General features: G+C 43.4%; 1 protein-coding gene across 2 annotated transcripts in view; it reads right to left on the minus strand.

Annotated features, from left to right (window-relative positions):
- YWHAE (tyrosine 3-monooxygenase/tryptophan 5-monooxygenase activation protein epsilon) overlaps positions 1-13006 on the minus strand; it is a 55948-nt gene that overhangs the window by 13368 nt on the left and 29574 nt on the right. The window contains exons 2-5 of one of the 2 annotated variants that reach the window (NR_024058.2): positions 12067-12099; positions 7217-7416; positions 4260-4366; positions 3450-3656 (exon numbers count right to left, since the gene is read on the minus strand). Coding sequence is in view for 1 of the 2 variants with exons in the window: in NM_006761.5 (NP_006752.1) it covers positions 3450-3656; positions 4260-4366; positions 7217-7416 (514 nt within the window). In the remaining variant the exon portion in view is untranslated. The remainder of the gene's footprint in view (positions 1-3449; positions 3657-4259; positions 4367-7216; positions 7417-12066; positions 12100-13006) is intronic. The other variant, NM_006761.5, reaches the window with a different exon arrangement.

The raw sequence follows: 13006 nt of genomic DNA on the forward strand, positions 1-13006 counted from the left end.
AGGCTGGGTGCAGTGGCTCACGCCTGTAATCTCGGCACTTTGGGAGGCCGAGGTGGCTGGATCACTTAAGGTGAGGTGTCCAAGACCAGCCTGGCCAACACTGTGAAAACCCATCTCTACATAAAAATACAAAAATTAGCTGGGTATGGTGGCGGGCGTCTGTAATCCCAGCTACCTGGGAGGCTGAAGCAGGAGAATCGCTTGAAACCGGGAGGCAGAGGTTGCAGTGAGCTGAGATTGCACCACTGCACTCCAGCCTGGGAAACACAGCGAGACTCTCCTCTCGGGGGAAAAAAAAAAAGAAAAAGACAATAGCAAAAAACAACAACAACAACAAAATGCCAACCTACAGAAGAGGAGAAAATACTCACAAACCATTTACTTGCTAAGAGGTTACTATCTGGAATAATGAACTCTCAACACTTAACAAACGAAAAAAACATGAATTCAAAAATGGGCAAAAGGGCCTGGTGCAGTGGCTCAGGCCTGTATTCTCAGCATTTTGGGAGGCTAAGGCAAGAGGATTACTTGAGGCCAGGATTTCAAGACCAGCTTCGGCAACACAGCCAGACCCTGCCTCTACAAAACAAAACAACAAAAAAAAATTTTTTTTTTGAGACGGAGTCTCGCTCTGTCGCCCAGGCTGGAGTGCAGTGGCGTGATCTTGGCTCACTGCAAGTTCCGCCTCCCAGGTTCACGCCATTCTCCTGCCTCAGCCTCCCGAGTAGCTGGGACTACAGGCGCCCGCCACCACGCCCGGCTGATTTTTTGTATTTTTAGTAGAGACGGGGTTTCACCACGTTAGCCACGATGGTCTCGATCTCCTGACCTCGTGATCTGCCCTCCTCGGCCTCCCAAAGTGCTGGGATTACAGGCGTGAGCCACTGCACGCAGCCCAAAAAAAATTTAAAAATTGGCCGGGCGCAGTGGCTCATGCCTGTAATCCCAGCACTTTGGGAGGGAGGCTGAGGTCAGGAGTTTGAGACCAGCCTAACCAAGATAGTGAAACCTCGTCTCTACTAAAAATGCCCCCAAAAATTAGCCAAGCATGGTGGCACATGCCTGTAATCCCAGCTACTTGAGAGGCTGAAGCACCAGAATCGCTTGAATCTGGGAGGTGGAGGTTGCAGTGAGCTGCGATCGCACCACTGTACTCCAGCCTGGCCAGCAGAGCGAGACTCCATCTTAAAAAAAAAAAAAAAAAAGGGCTGGCCAAGCACAGTGGCTCACACCTGTAATCCCAGAACTTTGGGAGGCCGAGGCGGGCAGATCACACGAGGTCAGGAGTTCGAGACTAGCCTGGCCAACACTGTGAAACCCCATCCCTACTAAAAATACAAAAAATTAGCCAGGCATGGTGGCAGGCGCCTATAATCCCAGCTACTTTGGATGCTGAGGCAGGAGAATCGCTTGAACCTGGAAGGCAGAGGTTGCAGTGGGCCAAGATCACGCCACTGCACTCCAGCCTGGGTGACAGTGCCAGGCTCTCCCTCAAAAAAAAGAAAAAAGAAAAAAAAAAGGAAAAGAAAAGGCCAGGTATGGTGGCATCCACCTCTAGTGACAGCTACTTGGAAGGCTCAGGTAGGCGAATCGGCTGAGCCCAGGAAGCCAAGGCTGCAGTGAGCTATGAGTGCACAACTGCAGAGACAGAACAAGATCCTGTCCGGAAAAAAAAGTTACCCACAGAATTTTCAGTCCCAATTCCACCTCAAGGTGAAGTTAAATACAAGGACTCAAGCAAATACTTAGTGCACCCATTTTCATAGCAGCATTGTACTCACCATAGGGAAAAGGTGGAAACCCACTGACCACCAAAAGTTTAATGACTAAACAATGTGTGCAAAATACATAAAATGAATTGTGTAAATTCAGTCACTAAAAGGACTGAAGCTCTGATCCATGCTTTTACATGGATAAAAACATTACGCTAGATGAAATAAAGACAGCCACAAAAGGACAAATATTATATGATCCCACTTACATGAGGTATCTAGAATGGGCCAAATTCATAGTGACAACGTAAAATAAAAGTTACTAGCAGCTAGGGAGAGGGGAAATGAAGTTATTGATTGTTTAATGGCTATAATTCGCTTTGTGTGGGGTGAAGAGAAAGTTTTCAAATAGTGGTGATTACACAACACTGTCAATGTATTCGGTGCCACTAAATTGTTGTGTGTGTGTGTGTGTGTGTGTGTGTGTGTGTGTGTGTGTGTAAAAGTCTCGCTTTGTCGCCCAGGCGAGAGGGAGAGGGAGACGGGGAGAGAGAGGGAGACGGGGAGGGGGAGGGGGGGAGGAGGGGGAGGGGGGGAGAGAGGGGGAGAGAGAGAGAGAGAGATTTGAAAAAAAGTCTCACTGTGTCACCCAGGCTACAGTGTACTGGTGCAATCGAGGCTCACCGCAACCTCTGCCTCCTGGGTTCAAACAATTCTCCTGTCTCAGCCTCCCGAGTAACTGGGATTGCAGGCATGCACCACCACACCCGGCTAATTTTGTATTTTTAATAGAGACAGAGTTTCACCATGTTGGTCAGGTTGGTATCGAACTCCTGATCTCAGGTGACCCACCCACCTCAGCCTCCCAAAGTGCTGGGATTACAGGCGTGAGCCACTGCACCCAGGCTATCACAACTTTTTAAAAGTAAAAAGTTATGTACGTATAAATATTCCTTACATATTTATCTACATTATCAAAAACTGGGAACAAGCTGAAGTATAAATGGGGGAACAGTTTAACACACATTAGTAAGACTGAAACTTGTTTATGCTAAAACAGAAAATATAAAATTATGTTTGCTACGAGAGTAACTATTAAAAACATGCCCATAGAAACAGAACACTGGCTGGGTGTGGTGACTCATGCTTGTAATCTCAGCACTTTGGGAGGCGAAGGCGGGCGGATCACTTGAGGTCAGGAGTTCCAGACCAGCCTAGCCAAAATGGTGAAAACACCGTCTCTACTAAAAATACAAAAAAAATTAGTTGGGCATGGTGGCAGGCCCCTGTAACTCCAGTTACTCAGGAGGCTGAGACAGGAGAATCACTTGAACCCAGGAGGTGAAGGCTGCAGTGATCTGAGATGGCGCCACTGCACTCTAGCCTGGGAGACAGAGTGAGACATGGTCTCAAATTTAAAAAAAGACTGAAAACTAATATAACAAAAATTAAAATAATTCTAATTCCTCTCATTTCCTTCCTCTACTCATTTTAACATGTTAGATTTCAATCTACCAGCAACAAAAATATCCCACATCAAAATAATTATGCTGACTGCTATGCTAGTGGGTTGAGACAGGTCTGTTTTAATACTATCCAAAGTAGTTTCAGTAAGAGCCAAAAGAATTACTATGCAGCCAAGTCTACAAAGACAGGCCCAAGAAACAACACGGAAAACCCAAACAGCGCCCCCCTTAACTTTCACGCTGAGCGCTGCTGTTCTTCCCCACAACTTACCTGCAGGCACGGTCAGGGGAATTAAGAATTTCGTAGTAGAATACGGAAAAATTGAGAGCAAGACCTAAGCGAATAGGATGCGTTGGTGGAAGTTCTGTCATTGCAATATCACTAGCAGCTTTATAAGCCACTAGGCTGTTCTCCGCAGCCTCCTTCCTGTCGTTTCCTGTGGCAAATTCTGCCAGATACCTGTGGTAGTCCCCTTTCCTAAAACAAAACCAAAATTAAAAAAAAAAAAAAAATTTAAACTAGGAACGATTTTTAAAGGAAAATAAGCTAAAATTGTTCTATATTATATAAAATGTGACAAAAATATATGTAACAATTAGGTGTACTTCAATAATTTTAAACACTCTCAGGAATAACTGGCTTCGTTTCATTTTTTTCCTTAGACATTTCATATTACTAAATATAAGCAAAAATCCCAGGAAATTAACTGAGGAGCCTCTAAAAATTAATAAAATTATCACCTGATAGACCAGAATTAAACAAGCAAGTGGTTCCAAGGAATGGCATGACAGTTTATTAATCATAAAATAAAATGTCTATATATAACACTAAGCACTGTGAAATGTATGCCGTTTGGGGGAGGGGAATGGGATAGGTCTCACAAAAACAAAAGAATATAAATAAGCAAAAGCTAATACATTTTCATAATAGCCCAACCACCTTTTCATTACAATATTAACTATCCTTCTAACATTGAACAATTATTCTTAAATAAAAGTTGAAAACCTACATAGAACAAAGTTATGGTTCTAAAAGGACCAACTTTCAATCTTACATTTTCCCTTCTAGTATAGAACCTACATTTTATAATAGAAAACCTTGGACTCGCCAGTGTTAGCTGCTGGAATGAGGTGTTTGTCCAGTACATCCAGAATGTCACAACAGATTAACTTTAGCTCAGTCTCAACCTAAAAAAAAAAAAATTTTTTTTAAATCAGATTAAGTCTAGAAATTCTACAAATTATTACATATTCTATCTCTGGTTTTGAGGTAGAGAGCTTAGTATTAAAAAGAATTTGTATCCCTCTCCAAACTCCCTTCTTCCTTCTTGACACAAAAGCAGAGAAAAGCTGCCTCTAGGTTATAAAAAGTATCTTTTCCCTTCTGCATGCTGCCTATTGTTACACACACACATGCAGGCACGCACACACGCCAGCCCCCACACCCCCTTCACAGTACCACAGTACAGCTACAGAATTACCAATGACTAAAACTGAACACTGATGCTTCTTGGTAAATGCTGGTCAATTACATGAATTACCTTCTTTCACAAGGTAGCAACGTAAAGACATTGCTCTAAGATCAACAATTAAATAAGAATTTAATAAGCAGAGCTAGGATTTGAACCCAGGCAGGCTGCAAGGGACAGAATCAAAATTTAAACCCAGGCAGTTTGCCTTCAGCACTCACATCCTTAACAACATTCACCAGGCAATTCCTTTAGTGGCAGAGATCCGTAACTATTAAAACACCGAAAACCTATCTACCAAAGTAGCTACTGCCACCCATCTCTATCCACTGATCATGCTGAACACGCACACCACCTCTCAACGCACATCCTCAGCTTGCTTCCTGTTTGCTATTAACTCATGCAGCACTACTGCTGAACCTTTCATGAGGGTCCTCTCCGTGCCCCTGGAACCTCCGTTTCACTGCAGAAAATTCTCTCTTTTTCTTCTATAATCACATCCTTATCCCAAGCAAAACTACTTTCTGAATAAACGACATCCCTGACAGCTTTTCCAATAGAGACTGGTCTAGGAGAAGGAAGACTTCTAAGTTCTCCTAGCTCCTTGCATACTCAATGACTGCTCTATTACTCCAAACTCTTCCTCCTCACAAGCTGATGATCTACATTCTATTTCTCAGTTTTTGTCATCAATAGATCTCTACACCCTTCTCCCAGATTCACTGAGTATCTACAGCAAACCCACCCAATACCTGAGATCACACCAAGGTATGGTGCAGCCATGTTCCATTCAACAGAGTTCTTTGCTCTCTACTCCTAGACTTTCACTTGTCCACACCCATGACCATGCTGCTCCATACTAGAAGTCTGAATTGCAACACTCCACTCTTGGCCCGTGGCTTCCTTTTTCAGTTCCTCTTCTCTTATTATTTCTATTTAGGGACTCATCAGGACATCTGGACTCTTTATTTTTTACTTTTTCTTTCTTTGATTCAGAGTTTCCCTCTTGTTGCCAAGGCTGGATGGAGTGCAGTGGCTCGACGTTGGCTCATTGCAACCTCCACCTCCTGGGTTCAAGCGATTCTCCTGTCTCAGCCTCCCGAGTAGCTGGGATTACAGGTGCCCGCCACCATGCCTGGCTAATTTTTGTATTTTTAGTGGAGACGGGGTTTCACCATGTCGGTCAGGCTGCTCTCGAACTCCTCACCTCAGGTACCTGCCCGCCTTGGCCTCCCAAAGTGCTGGGATTACAGGCATGAGCCACCACGGAAGGCCCCAGCTCACAACTTTCTATGTGACCTCAGGTATGTCAAACACCCAAAACCCTGGTTTGTGCATTCATAGTTGGGATAATACCTCCCCCTTCCAGTGCCATTTTAAAGATTTCATGTACTACCTTGCACAAATACATGTAACAAAAATATTTCTCTACTCAGGACAGTGCCCAGTACAGCTGGCGAGTCAGTAACTGTGGTTCCCCCACCCTTCCCTCCCCCAACCAACCTCACTTTCCACCTGCCCTGTAATTCTCTTCCCTGTTCTTTCCTGTATTTACGTGCCTGTCTCTTCTACTAGAATCGGTTACTCAACAGCAGCACTCCCGACAGTTTGTTGTGGGGCCCGTGCTGTGCCCAGTAGAATGGTTAGCAGCACCCCAGTCCCCACCCCACTAGATGCTAGGAACACCCTCCAGAAGTTGTGACAATCAAAAGTATTTCTAGACATTGTTAAACGTTCTCTGAAGTACAAAAGCACCTCTAATTGAAAACTGCTGCATTACAGTGATGGCTGTCCAACTTTTTTTTAACAAGACCTACAATAAGAAACATTTTATATATGTATATACACCCACAGTAAGTAAAATAACTTCATTAAATAATCCTCAGGGAAAAAAAAAGAGGAATCAGACAAATTAACCCAATATATTGGTTTTTGGGTGCTTTTTTTTTTTTTTAGATGGAGTCTCGCGCTCTGTCACCCAGGCTGGAGTGCAGCAGTGCGATCTCGGCTCACCGCAAGCTCCGCCTCCCGGATTCACACCATTCTCCTGCCTCAGCCTCCCGAGTAGCTGGGACCACAGGCTCCCGCCACCACGCCCAGCTAATGTTTTGTATTTTTAGTAGAGACGGGGTTTCACCATGTTAGCCAGGATGGTCTCGATCTCCTGACCTCGTGATCCGCCCACCTCAGCCTCCCAAAGTGCTGGGATTACAGGCCTGAGCCACCGCGCCTGGCCAACCCACCATATTTTTTTAAAAAACAGTCATCATTTTGCTTGAAAATACAATAGTTCCCCCTTATCCAAGAGGGATCCATTGAGACCTGCCAGTGGATGTGATGAAACCATGGAAAATACCAAACCTGATACAGACTATGTTTTGTCCTCATGCATAGCCACGGGTAAGTTTAACTTATAAACCAGGCACAAAGATCAATATCAGAAACATTATAACATACTGTAATACAAGTTATATGAATGTAGTCTCCTTTTCTCTCAAAATCTTAAGTGTACCGTCCTACAGGTAACTCAAACTGTGGATAAGGGGGGATGATGGCACAACAATCTCACCATTTGCCGATATTCCCGAATCATTTTTAGCTTGTCTTCTCCTCCCTTGTTTTCTTCTTTCTGTTCAATGCTGCTGATTATTCTCCAGGAGGCTCTTCTAGCTCCAATCACATTCTTATATGCAACAGATAGGAGGTTTCTTTCTTCAACTGTCAGCTCCACATCCATCCCTGCTACTTTCTTCATTGACTCCACCATTTCTGTATGGGAAAAGGAAAAGTCAGACCTTACAAATTTGAAGTTTTCTTAACATATTCCTTTCAAAGTAGTTTTTTTCTGTCAAGCTACTGCGAAAAAAACATTTTAACAAAAATAATTTCATAATCATCAAAACTAATATGAGTAAAAAGCCAAAAACATGTAAAGGAAACCAAACTAAGAGCCAATACAAAGACTCCAGAAGGTAGTTAGGTGGAGTGAGAAAGACTTCATATACTATCTAATATAATTTAGTGTGGTCTGAAAGCACCTCTCATTAAATAAGGTAATTAGGCACACCTAACTATTTTCCAGCAAAAAAAAATGAGCTGTCAGTTTAAGAGAAAGATTAAGAATTTACAGGTTCTAAAATGTATTGTCTCACAAATAAATAGTATTTCCAAAAATACAAAAGGAAGGGGAATTTGTTCATACAGCAAAAATATACGGAGTATATGGTTGGCCACCAACAGACTTTGGATGTTTTCTATCCTTCCTCGTATGAAGCTCCTTCATTGGTAAAACTTCTGATGATTCCTACTTGTTACCACTAGGTGGCGAGCAAAGAAAGGGGCCCAGAAAAGCCTTGGCATCTACCGCAAGCATAGGGAAACACAACGGCGTGTGAATGCAAAGCGCCACAAACAGCACAAGAAATAGTAACTGAATAAATACATTAATAAAAACTTATTTTTGATGCCATATTACCATGTGGCTCTCCAACATTACCCACGTTTCAATCTTTGGTGATGAGACTCAAGAATCTGCATTTTAGGGCCAGGAGTAAGTGGCTCATACCCCTAGCACTTTGAGAGCTGAGGCAGGAGAATCACTCGAGCTCAGGAGTTCGAGACCCTGTCTCTAAAAAATAAAAACAGAGGCTGGGCACAGTGGCTCATGCCTGTAAATCCCAGCACTTTGGCAGGCCGAGGTGGCACATCACCAGGTCAAGAGATAAAGACTATCCTGGCCAACATGGTGAAACACTGTCTCTACTAAAAATACAAAAATTAGCTGGGCGTGGTGATGCACGCCTGTAGTCCCAGGTACTCTAGAGACTGAGACAGGAGAATCGCTTGAACCCAGAAGGTGGAGATTGCAGTGAGCCAAGATCATGCCGCTGCACTCCAGCCCAGCAACAGAGACTCCACCTCAAAAAAAAAAAAATAGAATAAATAAAATAAAAATAAAAATAAAAATAGGCTGGATGTAGTGGCTCATGCATATAATCCCAGAACTGTGGGAGGCCAAGGTGGGCAGATCATTTGAGGTCACGAATTCAAGGCCAGCCTGGCCAACGTGGTGAAACGGTCTCTACTAAAAATACAAAAATTAGCTGCGTTTGGTGGTGCGCGCCTGTAATTACAGCTACTTGGGAAGCTGAGGCAGCAGAATTGCTTGAACCCAGGAGGCAGAGATTGCAACTGAGATCGCCCCACTGTATGCCACCTGGGGCAACAGAGCAGACTCCATCTCAAAAAAAACCAAAAGAAAGAATCTGCATTTAAATAAGCATCCTTAGCTTTCATTAACACCCTAAGCATAAGCATACCTTAACTAATAGGTATGAAAGAGATGGTGACTTCATAAAACACTACTAAATTGGACGGGCACGGTGGATCACACCTGTAATCTCAGCACTTTGGGAGGCCAAGGTGGGTGGATCGCCTGAGGTCAGGAGTTCGAGACCAGCCTGGCCAACATGGTGAAACCCGTCTCTACTAAAAATACAAAAATTAGCTGGGCATGGTGGTGCACGCTTGTAATCCCAGCTACCAGGAAGGCTGAGGCAGGAGAACTGCTTGAACCTGGGAGGCAGAGGTTGCAGTGAGCTGAGATTGCACCACTGCATTCCAGCCTGGGTGACAGAGTGAGACTCCGTTTCAAAAAAAAACACAAAACAAAAACCAAAACACTATTAAATTAAGGGGAGTGTGCCTAATGTATCCAGGAAAATATGTTTCAAAAATTAATCCTTTCGGGAATATAAAAAAAATTAAGCCATATTTTGTAAAGTCTCTTCGAAAAATATTCGGCAATGTTTTAATAAACATGTACCATATGACTCAGCAATCCCAATTCTATGCATCATCCAGAAGAAAAATAATCTTTACAAAGACTTTTACACACTCACTCACAGCAACTCTATTCATAATAGCCAAAAAGTGGAAACCCCTCAAATGTGCATCCAGAGGGGAAATGTATAAGCACACTGATGTTCACATATGTAAGATGGGATACCACTCAAAAATAAAGAATTAACTGTCCATGCACAGTGGCTCACATCTGTAATCCCAGCATTTGGGGAGGCCAAGACAGGAGGATTACTTGAGCCCAGTAGTTTGAGACCAACCTGGGCAACATGGTGAGACTCTGCCTCTACAAAAATTAGCTGGGTGTGGTGGTGTGTGCCTGCGGTCTCAACTACTCAGGAGATTAAGGCAAGAGAACTGCTTGACCCCAGGAATTCAGGCCTGCAGTGAGCTATTAGGTTGGTACAAAAGTAATTGCGCATTTTGCCAGCAAAAACCACAATTACTTTGTATAATCCTAACGCTGTACTCCAGCTTGGATGACAAAGCGAGAGACTCTGTGTCCAGAAAGAGAAGAGGAGACGGGAGGGGAGAAAAATAATTAACTGATACAAGCAACAATATGGAAGAATCTGAAAAACATCATATTAAGTGAAAAGAGTCAGATTAAAAGGATTTTATCATTCCATTTATATCAAATTGCAAAAAACACAAACTAAAAAGACAGAAAGCAAATGGTTATCAAGGTACAGAGGTGAACTGAGGGGCTTTTGTGCAAAGGACAGGTCACAGAATTGTACATGTAAAAGTGGCACGTTTAACTGTACACCTCAAGCTGATTTTTTAAATGCAATTCTGAACCATTAAAGAAGGATGACATGTTGGGTGCTGTGGCTCACACCTGTCATCTTAGCACTTTGGGAGGCTGAGGCAGGTGGATCACCTGAGGTCAGGAGTTCAAGACCAGCCTGGCCAACATGGTGACACCCCGTCTCTACTAAAAATATAAAAATTAGGCCAGGCACGGTGACTCACGCCTGTAATCCCAACACTTTGGGAGGCCGAGGCAGGCAGATCACCTGAGGTCGGGAGATCGAGACCAGCCTGACCAGCATGGAGAAACTAAAAATACAAAAAAATTTGCCAGACGTGGTGGCACATGCCTGTAATCCCAGCTACTCGAGGCTGAGGCGAGAGAATTGCTTGAACTCGGGAGGCGGAGGTTGCACTGAGTGGAGATCGCGCCACTGTACTCCAGTCTGGGCAACAAGAGCGAAACTCCATCTCAAAAAAAGGAAAAAAAAAGAAAAAGAAAAATACAAAAATTAGCCAGGCATGGTGGCAGGCATCTATAGTGCCAGCTACTCGGGAGGCTGAGGCAGGGGAATCGCTTGAACCCCGGAGACAGGGGTTGCACTGAGCTGAGATCGCGCCATTGCACTCCAGCCTAGGCGACAGAGTGAGACTCTGTCTCAAAAAAAAAAAAAAAAAAGTATTACAATATGGTAATAAGACCACTCATTAATTCATTTGTAGGAGTCTGAAAGCATTCATCTAAAACATGCCCAATTTTGTTTTCTAAACCAGTCACGAAACAGTCTAAATTTAGAAGCAGTGGAATAGGTAATCGTACCTCCATACTAGTTTAATTCTCAAAAATCAGCAAGTCAAACATAACTCAGAGGTAAGCCTGTAATTAAACTTTCTAAACTGATCGCAAAGTAAATCTTAAGTAACCCAGCTACACAAAAACAGTGCCATTAATTCTTTTAAGGCTTTACAATATTACATACAGAAAAACTATGCAGACATCAAATACTACCAAAAATTTAAGTTACATATCTCGAATATCATTCCTTATGATTTAATTTTGTTCAAATTTCTGTGCTTTACAAATTTTCAACAACGAAGACTTAGTATTTTTATAATGCAAAGAGAAATATATTTGTAACACTCAGTGATACTCTACTGTTCCAGATTCAAGCATAAATGCTTTCATTTTTACATATACACAAAACAATGCACAGACTGTGTGGTAAAATTATAGAAGCAACAATTATCCCTTTAATAATACCTTTATTTATATATAATTCCCCTACCTAACAATTCACCCATTTAAAGTGTACTATTCGGCCGGGAGCAGGGGCTCACCCCTGTAAACCTTGGGAGGCCGAGGTGGGTGGATCATGAGGTCAGGAGATCAAGAACAGCCTGGCCAACATAGTAAAACCCCGTCTCTACTAAAAATACAAAAATTAGCTGGGCATGGTGGCAGGCGCCTGTAGTCCCAGCTAACCAGGAGGCTGAAGCAAGAGATTTGCTTGAACCCGGGAGGCGGAGGTTGCAGTGACCCGAGATGGCTCCACTGCACTACAGCCTGGGTAACAGAGAGAGACTCCGTCTCCAAAAAATAAATAAACTGTACCATTCAATGGTTTTTAGTATATTCACAGAATTCTGCAATCATCATAATTTTAGATTTTCATCACTTCAAAAAGAAAAGCCCCAAACCCATTAACCATCAATTCCCATGTACCCGAACCCCAGCCCGGTCAACCACCAATCTATTTTCCGCCTCTACACACTTGTCTCTTATGCACATTTCAGGTGCGGGCATACCTTGGAAGATACTGCGGGTTCAGTTCCAGAGCACTGCAAAAAAAAATATTGCAATAAAGCAAGTCACATGAATTTTTGTGTTTCCCAGTGCATAGAAAAGTTATGTTTAAACTACACTGTAATCTATTAAGTGTACAACAGCATTATGTCTAAACTGTACATAATTTAAAAACACCTTATTGCTAATAAATGCTAATGCTCATCTGAGCCTTCAGCAAGTGATAATATTTTGCTGTTGGAAGGTTTTTGCCTTGATGTTGATGGCTACTGACTGCTTAGGGTGATGGCTGCTGAAGGCTGGAGTGGCCGTGGCAAGACAATGAAGTCTGCCATGTTGATGGGCTTTTCCTTTCCTGCATGATTTCTCTGTAGCATCTGACGCTGTTGGACAGCATTTACCCACAGAAAAACTTTTTTTTTTTTTTTTTTTTTTTTTTGAGACGGAGTCTCGCTCTGTCACCAGGCTGGAGTGCCTGGGCGTGATCTCGGCTCACTGCAAGCTCCGCCTCCCAGGTTCACGCCATTCTCCTGCCTCAGCCTCCCGAGTAGCTGGGACCACAGGCGCCCGTCACCATGCCCAGTGAATTTTTTTGTGTGTATTTTTAGTAGAGGCGGGGTTTCACCATGTTAGCCAGGACGGTCTCGATCTCCTGACCTTGTGATCCGCCCGCCTTGGCCTCCCAAAGTGCTGGGATTACAGGCGTGAGCCACCGCGACTGGCCAGAACAACTTTTTGTTTTTTGTTTTTGAGACAGTGTCTTGCTCTGTAGCCCAGGCAGTGGCACAATCTCGGCTCACTGCAGCCTCTGCCTCCAGGGTTCAAGCAATTCTCCTGCCTCAGCCTCCCAAGTAGCTGAGACTACAAGTGGGCGCCACCACGCCCGGCTAACTTTTCTATTTTTAGTAGAGACGGGGTTTCAGCATGTTGGTGAGGCTGGTC

Source organism: Homo sapiens, chromosome 17 (assembly GCF_000001405.40).
Source record: "Homo sapiens chromosome 17, GRCh38.p14 Primary Assembly".
In the NCBI taxonomy this organism is placed as follows: Eukaryota; Metazoa; Chordata; class Mammalia; order Primates; family Hominidae; genus Homo; species Homo sapiens.